Source organism: Homo sapiens, chromosome 4, assembly GCF_000001405.40.
Source record: "Homo sapiens chromosome 4, GRCh38.p14 Primary Assembly".
Classification (NCBI taxonomy): Eukaryota; Metazoa; Chordata; class Mammalia; order Primates; family Hominidae; genus Homo; species Homo sapiens.
In genome coordinates, this window is record NC_000004.12 from 97458527 (window position 1) to 97474255 (window position 15729).

Here is a 15729-nt window from a genome sequence, read left to right on the forward strand (position 1 = left end):
TGAAGAAAAACACATTGCTTAAAACTTTTCAGTCACAAGAGGTTATTAAAGTGATTTAATTCATACGTTTGATTGAATAGTAACTAAATATATTTTTCCCCTGGAGTGATTAATGCCTTTTCAAAGCACAATGGAAATGTTTAAAAAAATCATTACATTGTTCCCTGTCAAAGAAGGATGAGAGGATAATGACCTGTTAACTTTTGTAGTTCTGATTAGATACAGACATGTTAGGACAGAAAATCAACAAATACTGAAACTAATCATACCAAATAGCTTCAAAAAGGTTGATGTCCCTGAAAGACAAAGAAAGACTGAGGAAGTGTTCTAGATTAAAGGATATTAAAGGAACATGATAACTAAATTCAATGGATAATTCTGGGTGTAGAATATTATCAGGGCAATTAGCAAAAGTAAAATAAAGACTATATTATAGATAATAATATGTAACAATAAAAAACTTCCTGAATTTGATAATGTTTTATGGTTACAGAGGAAAATTATCTTCATTGTTAGGAGATACATGCGAAAGTATTTGAAGGTAAAAATTATTATATCTGGTAGATTCAAACGGTTACACAATATATAATTTCCTACGAATATATTCTCCAATAATAATAATAATTTATAAATATATGTGTATCACTGTGTGAGAGAGAGACGCCCACACAAAGAGGCAGAAAGGAAGAGTGCAAATGATACAATATATTAACAATTAGTGTTTCAACATTTGGATTTTTCAAAATAAGTGTTGAAACAAAATTTAAACTGTAAACATGAAGTCACTTTTCTAGACATTCAAGTGGTCAACTTCTCTTTCGCTAATATTCTGGTTACAATTCATCTTCCCTAGAAACAGAAGTCCTCTATTCAATCCAGTATCATGCAATTCAAAGGATGCCTGTTTTTTTTTGTTTTTTTTTTTTTTTTTGAGACAGAGTCTTGCTCTGTCGCCCAGGCTGGAGTGCAGTGGCGTGATCTCGGCTCACTACAAGCTCCGCCTCCCGGGTTCACGCCATTCTCCTGCCTCAGCCTCCCCAGTAGCTGGGACTACAGCTGCCCACCACCATGGCCGGCTAATTTTTGTTGTATTTTTAGTAGAGACAGGGTTTCACCATGTTAGCCAGGATGGTCTCGATCTCCTGACCTCGTGATCCGCCTGCCTCGGCCTCCCAAAGTGCTGGGATTACAGGCGTGAGCCACCGTGCCCGGCCAGGATGCCTCTTTTTAACAATGTCAGTTTCTACTTTAGATGGCTTCAGATTTATTTTTCACTTCGAGTTTTGTAAAATCTATATTAGTGTGTTGATTGGGTCCTTCTAATCACCGAGTTTATTTGCATAAACTCTATCCACATGTACTACAGAGAAGCATTTTCTGTTTCCTCTCTGTCAGTCTTGCTATGTTTCTTGGATATTTCACTCTTTCAAATAATTAGAGAATGATAGTAGAAGCAACATTATGCTTCACTTACTAAAGCTCTACAGAGTTATAACACTAGGCCATTCACATCACAATCAGGTAATTAGTAATTGAATTATAGTTTAACTACAGAGAATTAGCTACAGTGGTTATAGAAGAAAGTTCCACTTTCTCCTCTTCCATCAACCCCCCACTAGTACAACCACCCACTTTCCTGCATCTGCACCCCTATATTATATCCCTTTATACTCAGTAGGGTTTTCCCCAGAAGCCCCATTTAAAATTTCAATATTGTTCCTCAGACCTGTGATAGCTTCCTTCTCTGCTTTATTTTTTTCTATTTATTACAATAGGCATGTTATATATTTTATTTTGTATTTTGCTTTGGTTCTTATCTAGCTTCCTGGAAGCTGTTTTTGTCTATTGGTTCTATAGTACTTAGATCTATTCTTGACATAGACATTTGAATTATTTTTCTTTTTTTTTTATTTTTATTTTTTGTAATTCTGGAGACTTTAGGTCTTCACTTATTTTGGGACAATCTCAACTAAGATTATTTTGTGCATCTCTTCTCCATTTTCTTTCCTTTTTTCTTGGAACTGCTATTAGGCATGTTTAACCTTCTTAAACTATTCTTCATGTATTTCTCCAAGGAAACATTTATTAAAAGCATAACATACATATAGAAAATTGCACAAGTATAATTTAATGAATTTTCAAAAAATGAACACTGCTGTGTAAGCAGCACCCAATCAAAAACAAAGTATCACCAGTCCTCCAAAACGCTCTTATGTTCCCACACCCAGTCACAACTCCCATATGCACTCCTGAGCCTGCAATAGCCACAAGAAACTTGACTTCTAACACTATTATTAGATCACCATTGCCTAATATTGAACTTTAGATAAATGGAATCACACAGAAAATTTGCTCTTGAGTCTGGTTTCATTCATTCAACATTATGCTTGTAATATGGATCCATGTGGTTGCATATAACATTCATGCTCAGTTCTCCTCTTCATTCCATTTTATAAATACACCACAATGTATTTTATCCACTCTATTTCTGATGGCCATTTCTGGGTTGTTTCCAATTCTAGCTATTAAAAATAGTGTTTCTATCCATCATTGCACATGCCTTTTGGTGCACATATATACACATTCCATTTCATTATATACCCAAAAGAGTAACTGTTGGGTCATAAACTATTTATACATTTAGTTTTACAGAATCTACCAAGTAAAGCATATGAGAGTTTCATTTTTCTCCACATCTTTTCCAACATTTGGTTGTCTCTCTTTCTCTTTATCTCTCTCTCTCTCTCTGCATTTTAGCCATGCTAATGGGAATAAAGTAGTATAACACTGCTATGGTCAGAATGTTTGTGCTTCACCCAAAAATCATATGTTGAAATCCTACCTCTTGCAATGTGATGTTATTAGGAGGTGGTGACTTTGGGAGGTAATTAGATCACGATGGTTGAGCCCTCATGAATGAAATAAGTGCCCTTCTATGAAGAGGCCAGAGAGCTAGCTAGCTTTCTTTTCATCATGTGAGAAAACAAGAAGTCAGCAGTCTGCAACCCAGAAGAGGGCCCTTACCAGAACCCAACCATGCTCGCATGGATCTCAGATTTCTAGCAAACTGCGAGAAAAAGAATTCTGTTGTTTATAACCCACCCAGTCTATGGTATTCTGTTACAGCAGCCCAAACTGACTAACAAAAACACTGTAGTTTTAATTTGTTTATCACTTATAATGAAGTTGAGAACGTTTTCATATGTTAACTTTCCATTTGCATATCCTTTTTTCTTTTTAATGTGCCTGTTCAAGTCTTTGTCCATTTTTATTGGCTGTCTGCCTCTTTTAAATCTATTTTTAGAACTTCATTTCTAGATTCATTTCTAGATATCTATAATTAGATATCTTCACTCTTCTCTGTGTCATGCCCTTCCATTCATTTTAATGGTATCTTTTAATCAATAGATACTCTTTATTGAATGTCATTCAATATATCATCTTTTTATTATTAGTTAGCATTTTTTGTGTCCTCTCAAAGAAGTATTTCATTAACTTAACCTCATGAAGATAGTCTCCTACTTCTTCTTTTCTAGAATCTTGATTTTTTTTTCATTCTTAGATCAACAACACATCTGGAATCAATTTTGTATGTAGTGTAAGATAGTACTCAAAATTCTTTTCATTCCATATGGAAACCCAGTTGAATGAGCACTGGTTATTGATAAGACCAACTTTCCATTGTCCTACATATTTATGGCTCTATTTGTTACTTGTGCTCTTTTCTCCCATTGGTCTCTTTATTTTTATGTCAATGTCATATTGTCTTACTTATATTAGTTTTATATAAATCTTAATATTTGGTATGTAAATTCTCTAAGCTATTTTCTTATTCATAATTGCTCTCATTATCAAATTCTATATAAATTTTCATATAAATTTTTAAATCAGCATGTCAATTTTCACACACACATACAATCCGCTGAGATTTTTAATTGGGATTACATTGAATTTATTTAAAGGTCAATTTTTGGAAAACTAGCATCCATAAAATATTGAATGTATAATCATAATACCTTCTTCTATTTGTTTATATAATTCCTAGTTTTTGTCAATAATTTTTTGTAGTTGTCAGTTTGGAGGTCTTGTGCATCTTTTGTTAGTTCTTTTTGGTATTTTTTTTTATATCATTGGCATGACATTTTAAAATTTTATTTTCCAATAATTTGTTGCTGATAGCTATAAATTTTAATTTATTTTTGTTCACTGACTGTGCTAAACTCATTTATTTTCATGTACCTTACCTACAGATTATTTTGGACTCTTAAATTTCAAAATGTGTTTATCAGCAGATGTTTGCAATTTTATTTCTTCCTTATTGTATGGACTGAGAACTCCAGTATAGAATTGAATAGCAGTGGTTATAACTGGCATTCCTGATGACTTCCCAGTGACACACAGAAAATAATTCACCATTATGATTTTTAAAAATTTCTTTATCTGATTATATATTTCTTTCTATTCATTTGTTAAGTCATTTACAATAAATGAGCATAAATTTTATCCTTTTATTTCTGAATCTATTAAGATGATCACATAATTTTTCACCATTATTCTGTATGCAAATGTGGTAAATTATAATTTTTTCATGTTTTATTTTTGTTACCCTTGCTCTTCTGAAATATTATCCAGCTTTCAAGCAGTCTTTTACATTTTTCATCTCTTTATCTTTTTGAATTGTATTGTAACCGATACCTCACATTTACCTTTACTTCTTTGCTCAGTTGTACCTAGCCACTACAATTTTTTTATTTAAATGAATTTATGCACATGTTTATATATAAATTTCGGACGCTTTATTAGCTTTTAATAAACATTTTATTTAGGTATACCTTTAGGTTTATAGAAAAGTAGTAGAAAGGATATTAGAGAGTTTCTGTATATACTATACCACTTTCTTGTATTGTGTTTTTGTTGTTTGTTTTTTGTTTATTGTTTTTGAGAAGGAGTTTCACTCTTGTCACTTAGGCTGGAGTGCAATGATGTGATCTCGACTCACTGTAACGTCTTCCTCTCAGGTCCAAGCGATTCTCCTGTGTCAGCCTCCCAACTAGCTGGGATTACAGGTATGTGCCACCATGCCTGGCTAATTTTCGTATTTTCAGTAAAGATGGAGTTTCACCATGTTGGCCAAGCTGTTCTTGAACTCCTGACCTCAGGTGATCTGCCTGCCTTGGCCTCCCAAAGTGCCAGGATTACAGGCGTGAGCCACTATACTCGGCCTCTCCTATTGTTATTATCTTACATTAGTATATTTGTTATCACTAATGGATCAATATTGATACGTTACTGTTTAGTAACACCATATGTTTTTTCAGATTTCCTTAGCATTCATCGAATGTTCTTTTTCTATTCTGAGATCCCATCTTGATACCATATTACATTTAGTAGATCAGGTCTTTGTGTGGCTTTATACCGCACTCCTTTCTATTGCTGTATAGTATTCCGTTACATAGATGTACCAAAATTTGATTTTCCATTCACCTACTGAACAACATCTTGGTTTCTTCAAGTCTTTGGCAATTTTGCATAAAGCTGTTGTAAATATTTGCATGAAGGTTTTTATATGGACATGAGTTTTCTAATCAGTTGGGTAAACACCTAAGAACACAATCATTGGATTGTACAGTAAAGCTACATTTAGCTCTGTAAAAAATTTTATAAAAAGTTTGTGAAATATTTGGGGGAAAAACATAAAAATGCAATACAACAGTAAAAAATGACACAAATGAAAGTACGCAGTATAACAACTACTTATATAGCATTTACATCGCATTAGGTATTATAAGTAATCTAGAGATTACTTAATACTTTGGAAGATGCCAAACTATCTTCCAAACTAGTAGTGGTGCCACTGTTCATTCTGGAATTAATTCTATTCCAGTCAGTGTTGTTCTTCATCCTCACCAGCAGTTCACCCAGCTCTGTCACCCAGGTTGGAGTGCAGTGGTGTGATCTTGGCTCACTAAAACCTCTTCCTCCTGGGTTTAAGCAATTCTCCTGCCTCAGCCTCCCAAGTAGCTGGAATTACAGGTGCACACCACCATGCCCAGCTAATTTTTGTATTTTTAGTAGACACAAGGTTTCCCAGACAAGTCTCCAACTCCTGACCTCAGGTGATCTGCCTGCCTTGGCCTCCCAAATGTTCCTCATATTTTTACATGCTTATTTACCCTGTCACTGGTACTTGCCTGGTACATGTCACCATATAATAGTAGGGATAAATAGTGGGTGAATTGAATTATTCTTTAACAGAATATTTGCAAGAAATCTAAATGTATTCTTGCATAGGTATATATCAACAGTCATAAAAGATCATATTTATGTCCACTCAATTATAGTACTCAACACATACACCCTTAAAAAAAGTCATGATTTTTTTCTGCTCCTCTGTTTTCTTCAGCTGGAATAGTTTCAGAATTGTATTAGGTTAAGTTCTTTCCCCTGGAAAGCATAACTTTTTTTGGAAAAGGTTACAGTCTTACTTCATAATGGTTACTCTTCTCTCCCTTGAAGGAAACTTTCCAGGATTCAGGCTAGGAGAACTTGTTGGTGAGCTACTAGAGAGAAAGCACATGAATATGTGGGTTAGAAAGCCTGGCGCTTTCTAATTACCAGGCTAGTTCTGGATCAGCCTCCAGCAATTTGTCAAAATTACCATTGTACTTATTCCTCTCAGTTGATGGATCCAATGGCTTCAACTCCTGATCTCATTTGCTGTATCACTCTGTATTTGTCTCTATCCAGATTTCAAAGTCGTGGCTGTTACTGCAACTTGTTTTTAGATGGGTCCAAATGAAGTCATTATTTTTCATTTTGTCCAGATTTTTCTTATTGTAAAGACAAGAGTGATGACTTTCAAGCTCTTTATATATTAGAGCTGAATCCAGAAGTCTATTTGGATATTTGAAAAATATATCTGTTCTTTGTGTATATATGCTTTCCAGGTTTTTCCTTCTGTGTTCTATTATATCATTTGTTTAATCATATGAATCATATATTTCATAAACTCTTATCAGATTCTTTTATCTTATACAGTATTCTCTTGTATCCATAGGGGATTGGTTCCAGGAACCCCAGTGCATACCAAAATCCTTAGATGTTCAGGTTCCTGATATAAAATGGCATCATATGAGCATATAACCTATGCACATCCTCTCATATATTTTAAATCATCTCTAGATTACTTATAATACCTAATACAATGTGAATGTTATATAAATAGTCATTATACTGTATATTTTTATTTGTATCATTTTTGCTGTTGAATTGTACTTTTTGATGTTTTTCTCCAATATTTTTGATCCATGGTTGGTGAAATCTGTGGATAAGGAACCCACAGAGACAGAGGGTGAACTGTAATGTTCTTGAGTATATTAATTCTCCTGTTGTTTACATGTGTTTATTCTTCCTTACAGTGGTTTGTAACTTTTTGGTTGTCGTTGTTGTTGTTAACTCATTTTTAGAGTTTAGGAAAGAAAAATTTGTTCAAAACCAAAAATAGCCCAATGGAGAAGTTTTGTGTTTGCTTCTACAAGGTTCCAGGGTTTTAAATAAATCCTTTATATCTATGTATTATAATACCAAAAGGTAATAAAAAAGCATATCCATACCTATGATTTATGCAAGCCCACCATTTGAATTTTTCCTGTACAAAATATCCAGCCATATCCAACTTGTAGCACCAAGGCCGTAGAGTCTATTTGTCTGAGATAGAAATTTTTGTGTTTATACAGCCTTTCTGAGTGTGTAATTAATAGAAGTTAGGATACATCTGCATCACTTTTGTTTCCAACTATCTAGATATGCCCTAATCAGTTAACTCTTAGTGATAATGGTTAAGATGAGTATGGTTTCTTGAACTATACTGTCTACATTTAGAGTCAAGCACTGCCTCTTAATAGTTTTGTGAATGGGGCTAGGTGCTCAGCTTCCTTTTCCATTAATGGAAGTGAGCAGTTCTTAGAAAGGGGCTTGGGACGTAGCAACTCATCAACATTTGTTAGTTATCTGTGGTATTTACTAATATTCTGTTTCTACTTCTTTCTGTGGATTTTAAGTATTTATTTTTCATATAAAAGTTTTAACTTTTTAGATGAATGTCTATTACATTTTTCTTTTGTGAGTTTCTTCCATCGTTTATGGTTATATTATTCATACCTTCCCAGAGTTTAACAAAATCATCCAAAATGTAGGTAAACATAGCAGAAATATAAGAACAAAATATGAGCTGCTTGAATAAGTTGGTAAATTAATGAATATTAGAAAAAGAAACTAGTGATCTTTCTCCATGTCATTTCAGAAAACTAGATCATAGATTATTTGATGTCATATATCATGCATTCAAGTGTGAAACAGGATTACCTATAAGTTGAGAAATAGTTACAGAGTTTGTTAAAGATATTTGCAATAGACTTTTTAGCACCCAAGCTACTATAGTCAAAACCGACAAATGTGTGAAGAAAAAAAATAGTTAACATTTTAGTGACATTTTTAAAAAGTTCACAACATTCAAAAGAAATACTACAGCTGAGAAATGGAAAATGACTAAGTTATCTCCAATATCTGAAAAAGGTCACAAGAATTGCATAGCCACTGAATTTAACCCTATCTTTTGGGGAAGCCTTAACCAGACATTACTTTGACTTTATTACAATCAAAATCTGAGTATATTTAAAACCTTACAAAATGAGTATTTTTCATTTTCATGGCAATCATAAAAGAGGTTTATCATTTGATAAATTAAAATGTTAAAAGTATATGATTTTAATTTGATGATTTTAATATTTTAAATTGGGTAAAAAGCATATAAATTCTTAATCATATATTACCATAATCAAATACTCTTCTTCCTTTATTCATATAGAAAAAAAAATCCCAAGCATCATCATTCAATACTAATGGCAAGAGTAAAACAGAATAACCAGAGGATGATTCGCCAAATGAAGTTTTCAACTTTAAAATAAATTACATATATAATGAGTTCAAGAATTCATTTTACATTCATACAGTATTCATGTTATATGAACCACAAGGCACATTAATAATAAAGTGATTCATAAAGCCTATTAAAAAGAAACCAGTCTGTTAACTGACTATACTCAAAATGGAAATGGAGAAAAAACCATTATGAGAAAGTAGGCAAATAGGCTAAAAATTTAGATTGTTTTGTTGACTGGATCAGGAGATAAACGCAAACACAGAGTAGGCTAATGCAAAATAATTAGATAGAGAGCAAGGAACACTACCAGGTACTCTATAAGTCATCTCATAGTTTGAGTAAGAATATGGCTGTTAGTTATTAAAGCTGCTTTTGCTTTTTTTTTTTTTTTAAGATGGGATAGGACTCTACCTACTGCATTAAGAATGGATTTGTTCCTAGGTGAGGTTCTTATGTGGCATACTACATAGACTGTAGAGAATAAACATTATATTATCTCTAAGAGAGTAAGTTGATAGGAAAAAGAGAGGCATTAGCATGTTTAAAGATTTTGCTACATATCCTCATAAACAATTAATCCAGTGATTAAATTATACTTTAACAGTCCGTCACTAATTTCTTGTTTAAACAACAAAAAGTAAAAGAAAAGCTTCTATATCTAGATTAAAGTTTATAAGACTCTAAGAGATCAGTTAGTACACAAAATATTTGTCAAACTTTTTTTCCAATGTAATGGTTTCTTCAAAAATTTGTGACAGTGACAAACTCGTGCATTACGTTTTATTAATCTTTGAAAGCAATGATTGAAAGTTATTTCTTTGGGTTTTAAAAATACATATCTATACCTAACCAAGTTTGTTTATTTTTTAATTAATCAAAAATAAGCACATTCTTTTCTTTTCTGATTGATTATCAAGAAGAAAGGAAAACTCTAGTGCCTTCTGTGCTATCCGAAAATGAGCTTAATTGCACAGGTTGCTATAACTGACGTCACCTAAATGGGAGCTCCATACAAGCATCAGTCATCTCCTTTTGTGCTTTATTCCATTTCTCTTTCTCACATTCCTAAATGTATTGCATGCACTACTTTATAACGCTCTGTATCTGGCACCTTCGCTTTTCAGAAGAAAAGATAGTTAAACGTGGTAATAACCAGTCCAAGCAGATTTTCTGGAGGTGGTCATTGTAAATAGAATCCCTAGACTATTAAATTTTTTCCTATGCCCTATAAACACTATAGAACAGCAAATCTACTCCCTCCCAGTTCAGATGAATACTATTTCCTTCTCCTTAGGCAGAGAAAATTCTTCCATGTGTCAAATAGCCTCATAGTGATTTGGCCTATGCAGTGGAATGGGAGAATGAAGAAAAAGATACCTAAGAAAAGCAGTTTTATTTAGTCAGGCTACTTTAAGGTTTCTCACAGATAACTAAGAAACACAAGCTCTCCCCCCTTGATTATCTGGCTTCTCTTTCCACACAGATATAAAAACTACAACAGAACCAAAATAAAAAACACATACAACCAAAGTTTACTGCCTTCAAAATATTATAGTATGTTGGTCTATACAATTGAATTAGCTGCCACTTTTCTATGAAATATGGATGAGAAAAACAAAGGTTGGTAATACTCTCACATATCTGGAAGCATTTTGTTTTAAACTCAGGCAAACATGCACCACCATGGTATTCAGGTAGTGCTATTAAAATCCACCTGTTTATTGGCTAAAGGGAATGCTCAGTTTTCTAAAATAACAACCCAGTGACATTTATAAATTTTTTAAATGCATGTTAATACATTAAAGAACTGAGTTCATGCTAAATAATTTGGATTTGAAATAACTGTAGTCATTCTCTACTTTTTTTGGAATGAAATGAACCAAAACCAGAAATGAAGGAATATTGATAAAGCTAATCTGTAACAGCTGGAAGAAAATGTTGATGATAGGCTTGACAGAAACATTGGGTTGCCCCATTATTAATGGTAGTAATGTAGAAGAAGGAACCAAATATAACTGGTAGGATGTTGCCAACAGAGAAAGTACAGTGAGAGAGCAGAATCAGAGAGGAAGATACTAGGTTCAGTTCTGGACATTCTGAGTATAATATGTCTGAGGGATGCTAGGATAAGGAAGAGAGCGGCAGTCGTACATTTGCATCTAAGATTCATGAGATATAAAATTAGTTGTTTCTGACCCAAGACCTCAAGGAAGACAAAAACCAGAGACCCAAGCAAAACCAAGCAGAAAGACCAAGCTCATAGAGCCAAAAAGGGAGGCTGAAGAAATACCACAGAAAGACACAGACACAGAAACTAAAACATAGAGGCAGAAATCTCCATGTCAAGAAGTCAAAAAGGCAAGTGGGAACATGTGTGCCAAAAAAAGGTTGTGTTTTATGTGCAGGTCAGGACGTAGTGAGAGAGCGACTGGAGAGAGTATAAAGGACCAGTAACCAAATGAACAGACAATTAAAGAGATTTTAATTTGAGCATGTCTTATTTCTAGGAGCTATGTGTAAATAAAGAAATAGAAATTTACATGAGTAAAAAATATCCTTATGTAACAGTGAATCCTATTGAAACCACTGCATATGATGAGCTATGATTGTAGATGGTTTATGCTTATTTCCATCTTATAAAATAAAATGAAAGTCAGATTCAGGACAATTATTTTCTGATTTTTAATTCCAGCCTTCTCCCTCAGGAGAGAGAGAATTAACAATAAAATAAAGTAAGAAGGCATTGAGATGAGAGAAATATGATAGATGAATCCTCTTAATGAGAGTTGGGTGATTTTAAAACACAGCTGACTGAGACTGGAGGCACATTTGCCTTTCTGGTTTGTACTACATTTTCAAAGATTTTCACTAAACATTTTCTGTGTTTTATAGTGTGGGGGTAAAATTATTTTGCAAGGAAGAATTTGGCACATTATATATTTTTCCTAAAATATATTATACTAGCTTTCAAAATACATTATACAACATGTAATCTTTAATATATAGTAGTCCCCCTTCATCTGTGGGGAATATGTTTCAAGACCCCTAGTGGATGTCTGAAATCATGGATGATACCAAACACTGTATATACTATGTTGTTGTTGTTTTTATACACATTCTTATGATAAAGTTTAACTTATAAATTAGGGACAATAAGAAATTAACAACAATAATAATAAAACAATTATAATGAAATACTGTAATAAAAGTTATATGAATGTGGTCTTTCTCTTTCTCTCAATATATCTTATTGTACTGTATGCACAATTCTTGTGATAATGTGAGATGATAAAATGCAATGAGATGAGATGAGATGAGGTGAATGACTGATATAGGCATTGTGATGAGATGAAGTGAGCTGAATGACATAGGCATTGTGATGAGATGAAGTGAGGTGAATGACATAGGCATTGCGCTGTAGCATTAGGCTACTATTGACTTTCTGATGATATGTCAGATTGGGGATCATCTGCTTTGGTTGATCCTGGATCATCAAGCCATTACAATATCGATGGTTGGGTATTAGGAGCAGACAGTGTCGATGTCAATGTTTATGACTAATGAGTAGGTAGTGTATACAGCTAGATACACTGGACAAAGGGATGACTGACATCCTGGGAAGAATGGAGCAGGGCAGCCTGAGATTTCATCACATTACTCAGAATGGCAATTTAAAACTTACTAATTATTTATTTTTGGAATTTACCACTTAGTATATTTGGATTACAGTTTACTTTGGGTAAGTAACTAAAACTGCAGAAAACGTAACCACAGACAAGGGGTGGGGAGCTACTGTACTTGATTTATGGTGAAATGTGCATCTTTATAGAATTGTTACATATTACTATGTCATGTACAATATATTGATTATCACAGAGTTTAAACTGTGTCAGTTATCTGAGTAAATGTTTCCTGGCCACAATCTCTAGTTGAAACAATAAAAATAGTCATATTCATATTATTAGAATAATAATGCTATTGCTAATAATTCAATGTTTTGCAAATAATCTTAGAATACTTTAAGTAATTGAAGTGATTCTTGTACATGGTATACATTTTATCTGCAGCAAAATACTGAAATACTTCTCTGGAGATCCATAGATATTCTGAGAAGGTGCCTGAGGGACCATCTTAGGGGAGGAACTAAATAGAAGTGGGAAAAAAGATCAGCACCCAACTTTCTCCCAGAACAGCTGCAATTGTGTGTTCATCCTATTGACTTCTTATTTTAAAATTCATTTTAAGACAACGTTTTAATGTTGGGAAAAATAAAACTTAATATTCCAAGAAGAAGTTTATATCAGTTAAGGATTAATATTATAAATACAATATGAATGGAATTTGAAAAAAACATTTTCTGAGTGTTTATAGATTTATCTGAGTAATGCTATTCCTTCAGTTTCATATGACTCGAAAACAAGTTTTCATACAGCAGGTACATCCCAATGGTAAATAAAATTTTTTCTTTCTTTCAAATTCACAAATTAGTTTTAAATATACATCACACAAAATCATATGAAGACTGATTTATTTGAGAACATTTATGTGCATATTGAGTGTGAACAGTACTTTGTAAGAAGCTTATAAATCATTCCTCCATCATAACAACAACTAGAAAAATAAAAAAATCAACAACTCTTTCTTAGTTTCTTCAGAGAACTGAAGTTACAAGACAAACCATTGCCCAGAAAACTGAAGGGATAAATAGAAACAGAGAACCACAACTTAGTGGGGCAGAAATTCATTCTGAAATTTCTGTGGGAACCAGTGTTATGGTAGGAAAATCTGAACTGTAATTGATGAATTGCTGGAAGCTCAGTGTGGACAAGTTTAAGAGATAAAAACTCCAGGGAGACGCAGTCAGTGGGCATCCCCAAACTTTGGTGAGTTTCACCTCCAGGAGCTTGCCTTGGTTCTCACAGTGAATATTGAAGAAACATCTAGTGCTTTCAGCAGGGAAAGGGGAAAAGGAGCCATTTTGCAACATGTGAGAGTATTCTGTTCTTAGCAAGGCCTGCTCTCAGGAAGAAAATATGTCCATACAAAACCTGCACACAGATGTTTATAGCAGCTTTGTTCATAATTGCCAAAACTTGAAAGCAACCAAGATGTCTTTCAGTAGATAAACTAATTATTAATTATTTTATTACCTAATTATTAACTGTGGTACATCTAGATAATGGAATACTATTCAGCAAGAAAATTAAATGAGCTACCAAGCCATGAAAAGACAAGGAGGAGCCCTAAATGCATGTTACTAAGTGAAAGAAGTCAAACGGAAAGGCTACATGTGATTCATCCTATATGTCATTCTGGAAAAGATAAAACTATGGTGACAATAAAAGGATCATTGGTTGTTGCGGGAAGTCAGGGACCCTGAATGGAGGAACAGGCTGAAGCCATGTTAGAAGAACATAGATTGTGAAAGATTTCATGGACATTTATTAGTTCTCCAAATTAATACTTTTATAATTGCTTATGCCTGTCTTTACTGCAATCTCTAAACATAAATTGTGAAGATTTCATGGACACTTATCACTTCCCCAATCAATACCTTTGTGATTTCCTATGCCTGTCTTTACTTTAATCTCTTAATCCTGTCATCTCGTAAGCTGAGGAGGATGTATGTCACCTCAGGACCCTGTGATAATTGCGTTAACTGCACAAATTGTAGAGCATGTGTGTTTGAACAATATGAAATCTGGGCACCTTGAAAAAAGAACAGGATAACAGCAATGTTCAGGGAACAGAGAGAAAACCTTGAACTCTGACCGCTGGTGAGCTGGGTGGAACAGAGCCATATTTCTCTTCTTTCAAAAGCAAATGGGAGAAATATCGCTGAATTCTTTTTCTCAGCAAGGAACATCCCTGAGAAAGAGAATGCGCCCCTGAGGGTAGGCCTCGAAAATGGCCCCCTTGGGTGTGGCCGTCTTCTATGGTCGAAACCGTAGGGATGAAATCAGCCCCAGTCTCCCATAGCGCTCCCAGGCTTATTAGGATGAGGAAATTCCTGCCTAATAAATTTTGGTCAGACCGGTTGCTCTCAAACCCTGTCTCCTGATAAGATGTTATCAATGACAATGCGTGCCCGAAACTTCATTAACAATTTTAATTTTGCCCCGGTCCTGTGCTCCTGTGATCTCGCCCTGCCATTTGCCTTGTGATATTCTATTACCTTGTGAACCACGTGATCTCTGTGACCCACACCCTATTCAAACACTCCCTCCCCTTTTGAAAATCACTAATAAAAACTTGCTGGTTTCACGGCTCAGGGGGCATCACGGAACCTACTGACAAGTGATGTCTCCCCCGGATGCCCAGCTTTAAAATTTCTCTCTTTTGTACTCTGTCCCTTTATTTCTCAAACCAGCCGATGCTTAGGGAAAATAGAAAAGAACCTACATGAAATATCGGGGGTGAATTTTGCCTGATATCTGGCTGAGTTTCCCCTGATAATTGGTCCCAGAGGTTAGGGAGGAAGGAGGTGGAGAATAGAGGGTTTTTTTTTGATCACTGAAACTATTCTATATAACAATGTTGGATACATGTCATTATACATTTGTCAAAACCCATGGAATGTATACTAAGAGTGAACCCTAATGTAAACTATGGACTTTAGATGATAATGTTGTTGTCTCAATGTAGGTTTATTGATTATAACAAATGTACTACTATGGTCTAGGATGTTGATTGAAGGGTTGTCTGTTTGTGGGAACTGGAGTTTATGGGAACTCTCCATACATTTTGTTCAATTTTTCTGTGAACGTAAAATTGCTCTAGAAAATAAA

The 15729-nt window shown here is 34.0% G+C and overlaps 1 protein-coding gene and 1 long non-coding RNA gene across 5 annotated transcripts in view; one reads left to right on the forward strand and one right to left on the reverse strand.

Annotated features, from left to right (window-relative positions):
- Window positions 1-15729, forward strand: part of STPG2-AS1 (STPG2 antisense RNA 1) — a 123239-nt gene that overhangs the window by 91601 nt on the left and 15909 nt on the right. Inside the window, exon 4 of the long non-coding RNA NR_102713.1 lies at window positions 5019-5066. This is a non-coding gene — a long non-coding RNA (STPG2 antisense RNA 1). The remainder of the gene's footprint in view (window positions 1-5018; window positions 5067-15729) is intronic.
- The window catches only part of STPG2 (sperm tail PG-rich repeat containing 2), a 702228-nt gene that overhangs the window by 17278 nt on the left and 669221 nt on the right, over window positions 1-15729 (reverse strand). The window lies entirely within an intron of this gene.